The 13,597-nt window shown below is 39.1% G+C and overlaps 1 protein-coding gene across 10 annotated transcripts in view, besides 1 other annotated feature; it reads right to left on the bottom strand.

Moving 5' to 3' along the window:
* SMCHD1 (structural maintenance of chromosomes flexible hinge domain containing 1) overlaps positions 1–13,597 on the bottom strand; it is a 149,292-nt gene that overhangs the window by 85,267 nt on the left and 50,428 nt on the right. For all 10 annotated transcript variants that reach the window (XR_001753172.2, XR_935055.3, XR_007066135.1 and 7 more), the window contains 5 exons: positions 13,281–13,387; positions 12,106–12,188; positions 11,831–11,944; positions 1,516–1,593; positions 1,317–1,436 (listed from right to left, as the gene is read on the bottom strand). Coding sequence is in view for 7 of the 10 variants with exons in the window: in XM_011525642.2 (XP_011523944.1) it covers positions 1,317–1,436; positions 1,516–1,593; positions 11,831–11,944; positions 12,106–12,188; positions 13,281–13,387 (502 nt within the window). In the remaining 3 variants the exon portion in view is untranslated. The remainder of the gene's footprint in view (positions 1–1,316; positions 1,437–1,515; positions 1,594–11,830; positions 11,945–12,105; positions 12,189–13,280; positions 13,388–13,597) is intronic.
* Positions 2,512–3,012: an enhancer, noted in NCBI's record as "H3K4me1 hESC enhancer chr18:2716737-2717237 (GRCh37/hg19 assembly coordinates)". NCBI's record gives its function as "activates a minimal SCP1, AML or CMV promoter by ChIP-STARR-seq in primed H9 embryonic stem cells {active_cell/tissue: H9 hESC(primed)}" and the evidence as "EXISTENCE:reporter gene assay evidence [ECO:0000049][PMID:30033119]".

Here is a 13,597-nt window from a genome sequence, read left to right as displayed (position 1 = left end):
TGAGCCGAGATCACACCATTGCACTCCAGCCTGGGCAACAAGAGCAAAACTCCATCTCCCAAAAAAAAAAAAATTAGGTGCAGTGAACTGCAGTCACACCACTGCACTCCAGCCTGGGCAACAGAGGAAGACACTATCTCCAAAAAAGAAAAAAGGCCAGGTGCAGTGGCTCACACCTGTAACCCCAACACTTTGGGAAGCCAAGGAGGGCAGATCATGAGGTCAGAAGTTCGAGACCAGCCTGGCCAACATAGTGAAACACCATCTCTACTAAAAATACAAATAAATTAGCCAGGTGTGGTGGTGGGCACCTGTAATCTCAGCTACTTGGGAGGCTGAGGCAAGAAGAATCGCTTGAACCTGGGAGGCAGAGGTTGCAGCCAGCCAAGATCATGCCACTGCACTGTATTCCAGCCTGGCCAACAGTGTGAGACTCCATTGAAAAGAAAAGAAAAGAGGGGAGAGGGGAGAGGGGAGAGAGGAGAGAGGAGAGGAGAGGAGAGAGGAAAAGAAAAGAAAAGAAAGGAAAGGAACAGAAAAGAAAAGGAGAGAAAAAGAAAATAGAAAATCAAAGTGATTCAAGAAAAATTCCTAGAAAATAAAACAGGGATTTCCAGACTGAAAGGGTATACGAGGTACATGGCTGGATGATACTAGATAAAAACAGGCCTATGCTAAATCATACAATTGAATATTTCAGAAACTGGGATTCCCCTAAAACTTGAGGACTGGGGAACAGAGAACGTTTTGGGGGAGGAGGGGCAATATGCCCAGGGTCAGGAATCAGGACAGCTTTAGACTTTACCAGCAACAATGAAAAGTAGAAAACAATGTCTTCAAAATTCAGAAGGAATATGATTATCGAGTAGACTTACAAAGCTATTTGAAAATCAAAATGGGCCGGGCACGGTGGCTCACATCTGTAATCCCAGCACTTTGGGAGGCTGAGGCAGGTAGATCATCAGAAGTTATGAGATCGAGACCAGCCTAGTCAACATGGCGAAACTTTGTCTTTACTAAAAATACAAAAAGCCAGGTGTGGTGGCGGGCGCCTGTAATCCCAGCTACTCGGGAGGCTGAGGCAGGAAAATCACTTGAACCCAGGAAGCGGAGGTTGCAGTGAGCCGAGATTGTGCCACTGCACTCCAGCCTGGGTGACAGAATGAGACCCCATCTCAAAGTAAGTAAGAAAATAAAATAAAATCGAGATGGTTACCCAATTGTTCAAACATCTTTTAATGGCTTATCTCTCTTTTCTCTTTGGATTTAAAATGCCACCTTTAGCATATATAATTATATATTACTGTTTTGCTTACCTTTAACAGAAAACTTAATTGCTTTAGATGGTAGTGGTCTTCCTGCATAAGTGTCTGCATTACTTTCATTCAACACAACTTGTAATTTCAAGGTATAATTCCCCAACTTCTGAATATTTTCTGGATAAATTAAGAAGAAATTAAAAATCAAGTCAACACAATACCAATGTATTTTTTAACATTCAGAATAAGAACTCACCCATTTTTTTAAACCAGTAAGGCCATTTTCCTCCATGTTGACTAATATGCGAAATAATCTCTTTATTTCCACTTGAAGCTTAATAAAAGAAAAAAGAAACAATAGTGTCTTGAGAAATTCAACGTAAAACATGAAATACGCAATGTCACATTGGCACCAAATACCTATTTGCTGTATTTTAAAACCTGCTTTGAAGCTTCAAAAGATCTAACACTATCCTATGAAAGTGAACAGCAATAATAATAGTTAACTCTTCAATTCATTAAAATCTCTTTATTTCAAGTCTTATAAACTCTTTCACTTTATTTAAAATTACTATTTAAAGAGAAAGGAAGACAACAGAAGACAAATAACATGACCTCTCCAAAAAATTCCTTATTTATTGCCCACTCTAGAATTATATAATGTAAATATTAAAAAAAACAAAATTTTTAAAAAGGCAATTCATGAACAAATCCGAAATGTTTATCAAGTAGGTAACATGACCACACAGACCAAAAAGAGGGAGAAAGAGAGAGAAAAGCAGTCAACCTTACCCACTTGGAAACAGTACAATAGTGCATTCACACTGTGAACTTCTATCTAAGAAGGAACACAGGAGCTCAACATAAAAGCATAACAGGCCCAGCGTGGTGGCTCATGCCTGTAATCGCAGCACTTTGGAAGGCTGAGGCCAAGAATTTGAGACCAGCCTGGGCCATATAGTGATGGCTTGTCTCTACAAATATTTAAAAATTAGCCAGGCATGGTCCGGCTAAGCAGTCCCAGCTACCTGAGAGGATGAGATGGGAGGACTACTTGAGCCCAGGAGGTCAAGGCCACAGCGAGCTATGAAGGTACCAGTCTGGGCAACAGAGTAAGACCTTGTCTCAAAAAAAAAGCAAAAGAAACTTTGGATACTTTGAACACTACAGTGGGCAACAGCACTGCATGTCCCATGAAAAACTGGGAGTGAATCCTCTGTGTGAGAAGGGAAGAGAGCAACTGAAGCCAGCTGGGAGCTCCTTGGCCCTACCAAGCACTGGATCTGACTTGGAGAGCATTGGGAACAGTGGGAAGTGCTCCACCCATACTCCCAGACCTGGGTGGTACAAATAGAAGGCAGCCATTCCCGATCCTAAGTCACAGCGGGCTGCACAGAAACCTGCCAGCCAGCATAGGTGGCACTCACTGGTATGGAGAGTCTCCAGACTAAGATTTGTGATCTAATATTGAGGAGAGCAGCCTCCACAACCAGAATTGAGAGGCAAGTGTAATATGGGCCCCAGCCATGGGTATGAGAATTGGGTGCCCCTGCTTTGCAGAGCCAGACTGGGAGGGGTATGGCCTGGAGCCTGGTTTTTGTCCCTGGCAGGACGTTTTGCAGCCTGAGACAGATTCACAATCTGAGGACAGACTGCCTGTGACTTGGCTGGCTGTTTCAGCTTGCTGCCAGCAGCAGATGGTAGGAGGGAATCCAACCAGGTCAAAACTGTAGAGAACCGGGTCCCACTATCACCTGCCAGGTTGTGGAGCCCTAGCGACCCCACTTTCCCCATGCTGGATCTTTGGCATGGCAGTGGTTGCTCTGCTCCTCCCTGGAGCATTCCTTCGGGGCCTGAGAACTGCCTTGCAACCCCTGCAAGGGCTGGTGCTTGTGCCCTGTTGGGGTGGCCAGAATGCAGGATTCTCCAGCCCAGCCCTGCCTAGCTTTGCCCTCCCTACCTGCCTCAGGGGCAGAGTACAGGACTGGGACCCCTGGAAGTTACACAGTCCAGCCCATCATCTAGGACATCAGAGTACTTCTGGTTAACAAAGGTAACCCATAAATGCTACCACAACAGCTGCATCCAGCTCTTACCTTCTAGCACCACATACCGGACAGGAGGCCAACCTTCACAGCCCATTAAAACATCTGCTAAAACAATTGTGCAGTGCTCAGGAAGGAGACAAGCTCTGCACCACCTCTACTACCACAATTGTCCATACCACTGCAGCTACACAGGAGGCCCTGAGACTGCTCACCCGCCTGATACATTACTACAACAGCCAGCACTGGAGAAAGCCACCACACTAAGGCTATTTATAAACAAGGAAATCATAGATAATCTATGTCACTGAATACACCCAAGAAGCAAAGCCACAAGAATCTATTAAACATACATCATAGACACATCATCAAGGAAAAAATAAGTCCTGCCCCAACAAATGTAAATTCAAAACTAAAAATAAGCAACTACTACTACGGATACAAAGGAAATCAGGACAATACAGAAAATATTAAAAAATAAGGTGCTATGACAGTTCCAAAGCAACATGGTAATTCTCTAACGATGGATCCTAACCAAAAAGAAATCTTTGAAATATCAAATAAAAAATTCAAAATACTGATTATTTTATTTTCTTGAGATGTGGTCTTGCTCTGTTGCCCTGGGTGAATTTCAGCGGCACAATCATAGCTCACTGCAGTCTCATGGGCTCAAGTGATCCTCCCACCTCAGCCTCCTAAGTTGCTGGGACTACAGGTATATATTACCATGCCCACTTCTTAAATTAAAAAAAAATTTTTTTAGAGAGTGTCTCACTGTGTTGTCCAGGATGGTCTTGAACTCCTGGCATCAAGCTATCTTCCCACTTCAGCCTCCTGGGATTATAGGCATCAGCCACCAAGCCCAGCTAAAATACTGATTTTTAAAGAAGCTCTATGAGATACAGGAGATAGCTGAAAACTAATATAAAGTAGTGAGAAAATGAAATTCAGGATATGAATGAGAAATTTACCAAAGGCATAGTTTTTTGTTTTTTTAAAAAAGAACTTCTGTAATAAAAAAATTCATGGAAGGAATTACAAGATATGGTTGAAAGCAAACAATGGACTAGACCAAGCAGGAGAATCTCAAAATGTGAAGATAAATCTGTTGAATTAATCAATCAGACAAAATAAAGAAAAAAGAATTGTAAAAAATGATCAAAGCCTTCTCGAAGTATGGGTCAATGTAAAACAGCCAAACCAACAAATCCCAGGTATTCCCAAGGGAAAAGAAAAAGCAAAAACTTTAGAAAACCTATTTGAGGAAATAATTGAGGAAAACTTCCCTTGTCTAGCAAGAGATCTACACATCCAAAGAATAAGAGGCTCAAAGAATGCCAGGCAAAAACACTGCAAGAAAGGCCTCACTACAATATATAGAAATTAGACTGTCTAAAGTCAATGTGAAGGAAAATATCCTAAAATCAGCAAGAGAAAAAGCATCCAGTCACCAGTAAAGGAAAATCCATTAGACTAACAGCAGATTTCACAGCAGGTACCTTATAAGCTAGTAGAGACTGGCATTTTGTTTTTTCTTTTTTTACAGTCCTGCTCCCTCTGTAGGATTCTGTTTTCAAAGTGCTGGGGGTAGGGGGCAGGGGGGACTGTCAACCACAAATCTTGTGTCCTGCTAGAACAAGCTTCATAAATGGAGGCAAAATAGTCTTTTCCAGACAAGCAAATCCTGAAGAAATTCACTACCCCTAAACCAGATCTACAAGGAACAGTCAAAGGAGTTCTAAACATGGAAACAAATGGTCAATACTAGCCATCATAAAAACACATGAGAGTATAAAATTCACAGGTATTATAAAACAATTATACAAGGTAGGAAGAGAAAAAAATCAAATAGCAGCACAACAGAATCCCACCAAACCACAAAGACAGAAAGGAGGGAAAAAAAGAAAGGATCTACAAAGCAACTAGATAACAACATTATGACAAGAGCAAAACTTCACATATAAATACTAACCTTGAATGTAAATCAATTAATGTTCTACCTAAAAGATATAGACTGACAGTAATGGATTTTTTAAATGAACCAACTAAATGCTACTCACAATAAACTCATATTACTCATAAAGACAATTATAGACTGAAGGTAAAGGTGTGGAAACAGCTATTCCATGCAAACAGAAACCAAAAGTGAGCAAGAGTAGCTGATATCAAATAAAATAGACTATAAATCAACAACAGTTAAAAAAATTATATAATGTTAAAGGAATCAATTCAACATGAAGATATAACAATTCTAAATATATATGTACCAAATACCAGTGCCTAGATTCATAAAACAAGTATTACTAGGCCTAAGAAGACATAGAAAGCAATACAATAATAATGGATTCAACACCCTACTGATAGCACTAGATGGATCATGGAGATAGAAAACGTTGCAACAAAGGAACATTGGATTTAAACTGGCCTTTAGACCAAATGGACCTAAGCAAACATTTACACAACATTCTACCCAACAATATGCAGAGTATACATTATTCTGCGGAATATACATTCTTCTCATCAGCAAATGGAACATTCTTGAAGAAAGGCCATACATTAGGCCACAAAACAAATCTCAACAAATTTTGAAAAATCAGAATCATATCAAGTAACTTCTTGGACCATAGTGGAATAAAACTAGAAATCAATTCCAAGAGAAACTCTCAAAACTATAAAATACTTGGATCAAACAGCTTACTCTTAAATAATCTTTATGTCAATGATAAAATTGATATGAAAATTTAAAATACATATATATATTTTGAGATGGAGTGTCACTCTGTTGCCAGGCTGGAGTGCAGTGGTGCAATCTCAGCTCATTGCAGCCTCTGCCTCCCAGGTTCAAGTGATTCTCCTGCCTCAGCCTCCCGAGTAGCTGAAATTACAGGCGCACATCACCACACCTGGCTAATTTTTTTACTTCTTAGTAGAGACGGGGTTTCACCATGTTGGCCAGACCAGTTTATGATGTATCTTAAAGAAAGCATGCCTATATTTGCCTTTTACTGCTGGATTTCTCAACTTGTACCAATAGAGAAAGAAACATGTTCTAGAAACATCTTCTCAATATTTGCTTTAAAAAAAGGGTGCAATTATAAATCAGACAGCAAATCACCACGAGAAGTTCTCTAAAAAGACCCAAGCAACTTTCTGATTTTTGATGTATTTATTCAACAAATATTAATTAATTACCTCCTATATACAAAGTACTAGAAAAAGGGTAAAGAAAACATCATTGCTTTCCTGGAGTTTTTAATCTTGTAGAACAAGGGGACTGGCAAACTACTGGACTGCCAATGGCTGCATTCATCTACAACAACAGACTTACGTAATCATAAGAAACAGCTCATACAGCTCTCAAAGCCTAAGTATTTACTACCTGACGCTTTCCAAATAGTTTGTCACCCCTGTCCTAGAGGGGAAAGACACATTTAAGGAACAAAATTTGGTCTAGAGTTGGGAAAACTGGGGTTCGATAAGAACCAAAAGAAAACAGTTGTGGTTAGAGGTATGGTAAGTGAGGATGAGATCAAGTTGGAGAGAGAGGAAGGGCCAGATCATGCGTGGAGTATTGCAGAGCTATGACTAGTTTCCTAGGCCACTAAAGATGAAATAATATAAAACAGGTGAGTGATATACACAGTTTTGCAATTCAAAAAAATCACTTTGGCGTAAAATGAGGAAAATGAGCTGGAGCAGTGCAAGAGTGAAAGAGGACTTTTCATTGAGGCAGCTACTACGTGGTTAGAATGAGAGACCATGATGACTCGGACTTGAATGGGCAGAACGAAGATATACAGTTGTCCCTTGGTTTATGCAGGAGATTGGTTCCAGGATCCCCATGTATACCAAAATCTGCACATACAACTCCTGTGGTTGGCCCTGCAGAACCTGTGTATATGAAAAGTTGGCCTCTGTTTATGTGGGTTTCAAATCCCGCAAAAACGTATTTTCAATCTGCATTTGATTCACAAATGGCCACATATAAGTGGACCTGCACAGTTCAAACCCATGTTTTTCAACGGTCAACTGTACTTTAGTGTGATACTTGGTGATAGATTGGTTACAGAGGATTAAGAAATAAATGGAAACACCAATCCTTTTCAAACTCTTCCAAAAACTTAAAGAGGAGAGAACACTTCCTAACTCATTCATTCTTTGAGGTCAACATTATCTGATACCAAAGTCAGACACAGACATCAAAAAAAAAAAAAAGGAAAAAGAAAACTACAGACCAAAATCCCTTATGAATATTGATGCAAAAATTCTCAACAATATGCTAGCAAGCCAAATTCAGCACAATTTTAAAAGAACTCACCTTAGTCTATATAGTGTTGTTGTAAAGGAATACCTGAGGCTGAATAATTTATAAGAAAAGGATGTTTATTTGGTTCACAGTTCTGCTGGCTGGAAGACTGGGCATCTGGTGAAAGCCTCAGGCTGCTTCCACTCATGGTGGAAGGTGAAGGGGAGCCAGTGTATGCAGAGATCATATGGCAAAAGAGGGGTGAGGGAGGTGCCAGGTTCTTTTTAACAACCAGCTCTCATGGGAAATAATAGAGCAAGAACTCACACAATAAGCCCTTCATGAGAGATGTGCACCTATGACTCCAAAACCTCCCATTAGGTCCCACCTCCAACACCGGGGATCAAGACAAACATCCAGGCCGGGCGCGGTGGCTCACGCCTGTAATCCCAGCACTTTGGGAGGCCGAGGCGGGCGGATCACGAGGTCAGGAGATCGAGACCATCCCGGCTAAAACGGTGAAACCCCGTCTCTACTAAAAATACAAAAAATTAGCCGGGCGTAGTGGCGGGCGCCTGTAGTCCCAGCTACTTGGGAGGCTGAGGCAGGAGAATGGCGTGAACCCGGGAGGCGGAGCTTGCAGTGAGCCGAGATCCCGCCACTGCACTCCAGCCTGGGCGACAGAGCGAGACTCCGTCTCAAAAAAAAAAAAAAAAAAAGACAAACATCCAAACTATACATAACAACCAAGTGAGATTTACTCTTGGAATGCAAGCATGGCTCAACAAATAAAAAACAAACAAGGCTACGTGCAGTGGCTCATGCCTGTAATCCTAACACTTTGGGAGACTGAGGCAAGAGGTCATTTGAGGCCATGAGTTTGAGACTAGCCTGGGCAGCATAGGAGACCCTGTCTCCACCACAAAAAAAAAAAAAGGGAGCCATGGTGGCTCAGGGCAGTTGTCCTGGTGCATAAGGAGGTGAGGCTACGCGTTCGAGGCCAACCTCGTCAATATTTTTAAAAAACTCTCATCCATTGATAAAAAGAAAAAAAAAAATTAGCTGGGTGCAATGAGCATGTCTGTAGTCCTAGCTACTCAGGAGGCTGACGTGGGAGGACCACTTGAGCCCAGGAGTTTGAGGCTGCAGTAAGCCACGACTGTGCCGCATCATTCCAGCCTGGGTGACAGAGTGAGAACCCGTCTCAAAAAAAACCCCAAAAAACAAAAAACAACCAATCAACGCAATACATCACTTTGAGAGAATAAACCTACATAATTATCTGGACTGATGCAGAGAAAACATTTGGGAAAACAATACTCTTTCATGATAAAAACACTACACAAGGAATAGAAAGAAACTTCTTCAACATGATAAAGGCCTTATATAAGACCCGCAGTTAACATCGCATGTACTCAACTGTTAAAGACTTAAAAGCTTTTCCTCTAACATCAGGAACAGGACAAGATTCTCATTTTGGTTACTTCTATTCAACATAGTATTTTAAGTCCTAGCCAGACCAATTAGGTAAGAAAAAGAAATAAAAGGCATCCACTTTGGAAAAGAATAAGTTATTTCCGTTCATAAATGACATGTTCATATATGAAAAAACCTAAATAATCCATAAAAAAAACCCTGGTATAGCTAATAAACTCAGCAAAGTTGCAGATACAAAATCATGTTCACGGATTGAATGACTTACAATTGCTAAGGTAAAAATAATACTCAAAGTGATCTGCATATTCAGTGTAATCCCTACCAGGATCGCAATGGTGTTTTCTGCAGAAATAGAAAAACGCATCCTACATTCATAGGGAATCTCCATGGACCCAAATAGCCAAAACAATCTTAAAAAACAAGAATAAAGTTGGAGGACTCACACCTCCTCATTTTAAAACTTACAAAGCTACAGTAAACAAAAACAGTGCAGCATGGGCATATGAACAGACATATAGACCTAGGGAACAGGGAGCCCAGAAATAAATTCTCACATATGTGGTCAACTGACTTTCAACAAGTGGGCCAAAACAATTCAATAGAGAAAGTATAGTCTTTGACAAATGGTGCTGGAAAAACTGGATATCTACAGGCAAAAGAAGTTTTCCATATAAAAAGAAGTTAACCATATGCAAAAGTCAAGGTCAGATGGATCAAAGTAATAACAACAGAGCTAAAGCTATAAAATTTGTAAGGAAAAAACATTCAGGAAAAGCTTCGTAACACTGAATTTAGTAACAATCTCTTGGATAAGACACCAAAAGCACAGCCAACAAAAGAAAAAAGAAACTAATTGTTTGTCAAAATTAAAAAGTTTTGTGCATCACAGTCACCATTGACAAAGTGAAAAAGCAACCCACAGAGTGGAAGAAAATATCTGTAAATCATTTATCTGATAAGGGATTAATATCCAGGATTATAAAGAACTCTTACAACTCAACAACAAAATTTAAAAATGGCCAAAGGACCTGAATAGACCTTTGTCCAAAGAAGATATACAGATGGCAATTAGCCCATAAAAAGATGGCCAAAATCACTGAATATTGGGGAAATGCAAATCAAAACCACAATTATCTTTAGTAGGAAAAAGGGGGGAAAAAACCACAGTAAGATACCACTTCATATCTGTTAGGATGGCTATTATCCGTCCCCCACAAAAAAACCCACAGGAAATAACAAGTGGGGGTGACATGGAGAAACTGGAATGTACAATGAGGCAACCACTGTGGAAAACAGTACGGCAGTTTCTCAATAAATTAAATAATAATATGACCCAGCAAGTCCACTTTTGGGAATGTATCTAAAAGGAACCAAAGCGGAGACTCAAAGAACTATTTGTACACTGATGTTCACAGGAGCATTCTTCACGATAGACAACAGGTGAAAGTAACCTGAGTATCCATCAAACAAATGGATAAACAAAATATGGTGTATGTGTATACATGTGTGTGTGTATATATATATATATATACACATATACACATATATACACACACAAGGGAATATTATTCAACCTTAAGAAGGAATGGGAATTCTGACACACTATGCTAAGCGAAACAGGCCAGACACAAAGGACAAATATAATTCCATTTTTATGAGGTACCTAAAATAGTCAAATTCAGAGACAGAAAGTTAAAAAGTAGTTACCAGGGCAGGGAGAAAGGAGTGATGAAGAGTTATTACTATAGAGTTTCAGTTTGAAATGATGAAAAAATGCTTTACATGGATAGTGGTAATGGTTGCACAACAATATGAATGTACTTAATGCCACTTCATAAATTTCATGTTAATATGTTATATATATATATATATATATATATATATATATATATATATGAAGTTATTGAAAATAGAAGCAGGGACCAGCCTGACCAATATGATGAAACCCCATCAAACCCCATCTCTACTAAAAATACAAAAATTAGCTGGGAGTGGTGGCATGTGCCTGTAATCCCGGCTACTCAGGAGGCTGAGACAGGAGAATTGCTTGAACAGGGGAAGCGGAGGTTGCAGTGAGCCTAAATTGTGCCATTATGTATTCCAGCCTGGGCAACAAGAGCGAAGCTCTGTCTCAAAAAAAAAAAAAGCAGGAAGGTCATGAAAGGTGCTGCACTGCTGGCTTTGAAGATGAAGGAATGAGAGTGGTGCTTCTGTGTGATTTATTTATTTTTTAGAGACAGGGTCTTACTTTACCACCCAGGCTGGAGTGCAGTGGCGTGATCATAGCTCACTGTAGCCTCGAACTCCTGGGCTCAAGCAATTTTCCTGCCTCAGCCTTCCGAGTAGCTGGGACTATATAGGCTCGTGCCACCAAGCCCAGCTGAGAGTAACTTCTAAAAGGCAGAAAAGGCAAGGCTCACCCAGAACCTCCAGGAAGAAATGCAGTCCTGAAGACACTTTAATTTTAGCTCAGTGAAACCTGTTTTGGATGACTAATAATACTGTAATCAATACTGTAATTATTACTGTAATTATTAGAACTGTAATAATACATATATGCTTATAGAAATTCCTACTGCAAATTCTTCTACATATATGTATCATGCCTTTACTTTAGCCCAGTTACCCACATGAAAAAATTCAAGATGAAGTATTTTTTAAAAACCTTAGAAAAATATCCACCAAGAAAATGAGCTATTCATAACATTCCTGAAATTCCTAACTTCAATAAAATTTGCTATGCCTATCAGATTGCTAGGTCATCAATAATTACATGAAGATATTTAATTTGATATTATATTTTAAAAACAATATTAAAGATCTAAATTAGTTTGTATACTTACAATGTAAAATAACTTTGAGCTCAACCAGGAGTTTCTTTGACCCTCCATGGCTTGTTCCTGGAAGCTTTTGCATTGCTTCCCCTTTTTTATTCAGTATTTCAATTCTTAACGCACCTATGAGTCAAAAATTAAAAGTATCTTAATTACACCCAAAAATTTGCTGAATCTGCCAAATCTTCCCATTGCATTTTAATATCTCGTGACCTTTTACATATTGGAAATGTAAGACAAAAGAAAAGCACACTTTTTGGTATTAGAAAAATAAACAAACATACCAATAGGGGTTCCAGCAGGCCTAACCTCATTAGGCAATAATTCATCTCCTTCAGGCCAAGTTACTGACAATCTATCAGGGAGCCTGTTATGAAACCAGCATATTAATGTTCCACAAACTTTGTTAATTATGATCTTAATTAAAAAGATACGAGTTATTAGAAACTTAAATATTTATTGCTGATATATTTTAAAAGGTTAAATCTGGAATTCTTTACGATTAATCATCTAAAAATTTTTTTCCTCCCTAACCATTCCTGTGGCTACTGAAAAAAAAGAAGAAGAAAAAAAAAAACCTTTTGGAATTAAAAGCCAGAAACTGTCAAATTTTTGTTGATTTTTTTTTTCTACTTGTTTATAGTACAAATTACCTTTAGAAGACAGGATAACCCCTAAGAATCAAAATTCAGTAAGAATCAAAATGATTGCATCATTAGCTATACAAGAAGAAAAGCCACTTTCTACTTCCTTCTTCTTCTTTATAACTCACTGATAAGGTTTGGCTCTGTGTCCCCATCCGAATCTCATCTCGAATTCTAATCCCCAGGTGTCAAGGGAGGGACCTGGTGGGCGGTGATTGGATCACAGGAATGGTTTCCCCCATGCTGTTCTCTTGATAGTGAGTTCTCACGAGAGCTGATGATTTTTAAAGTGTTTGACAGTTCCCCCTTCCCTCTCTCTCTCTTCTGCCGCCCATGTAAGACATGGCTTGCTTCCCCTTCGCCTTATGCCATGATTATAAGTTTCCTGAGGCCTCCCCAGCCATGCACGACTGAGTCAATTAAACCTCCTTGCTTTATAAATTACCCAGTCTCAGGTAGTATCTTTATAGCAGTGTGAAAACGAACTAATACACTCATCTTTACCTCTCAGCAGGTATTGTAATATCCTAGTTGTAGGCCAAACTGAGTTTTTTTAAAACATGTTAATCATAGTGCCTATAAAAGTGACACTTTAGATATATAAGATTTCCTTCTTTGTCTACAAAACAAATGCAGAATTCTGTTTGTATAACTAGACCTCTTAATTTTTTTCAACAAGAAGTTCATCTCAATAGGTACAATATCTAAGACTACAAATGCCCTAACAGCAGAGTAAATGACATACTCAGAATACTTACAGCACAATTCTTTCCAATTTTTCTTATTTTTGTCATGCATCTTGAAGTGTGACTTACCTTGCCATTTCATCTTCTACATATTTTTTAACAGCTTTCTCAGCAACTGTCCTATCCAGCTTTGCAATTGGCACAGTTCTTACTTCATCATATAGTGCCTGAGGTTCCTGAATAAATACATTTACCAACATTTCAAAGAAAACTATTTAAATCTAGCTGTAATAAAAACAAACACCCATTTGTTTCTTCCAAAGAAATATATTTTATCCTAATTAAGTACATAAATAACAGTAGCTATTCTTACGTTACACCACAATGTTTGTTTATATTTTTTATATAACCTCTGTAGTCCTAACATATCAAACATTAACAAGAAA

The sequence above is a fragment of the Homo sapiens genome, chromosome 18, assembly GCF_000001405.40.
Source record: "Homo sapiens chromosome 18, GRCh38.p14 Primary Assembly".
NCBI lineage: Eukaryota > Metazoa > Chordata > Mammalia > Primates > Hominidae > Homo > Homo sapiens.
Note: the sequence above shows the minus strand (reverse complement) of the source record. Positions and strands in the feature narration are given on the sequence as shown.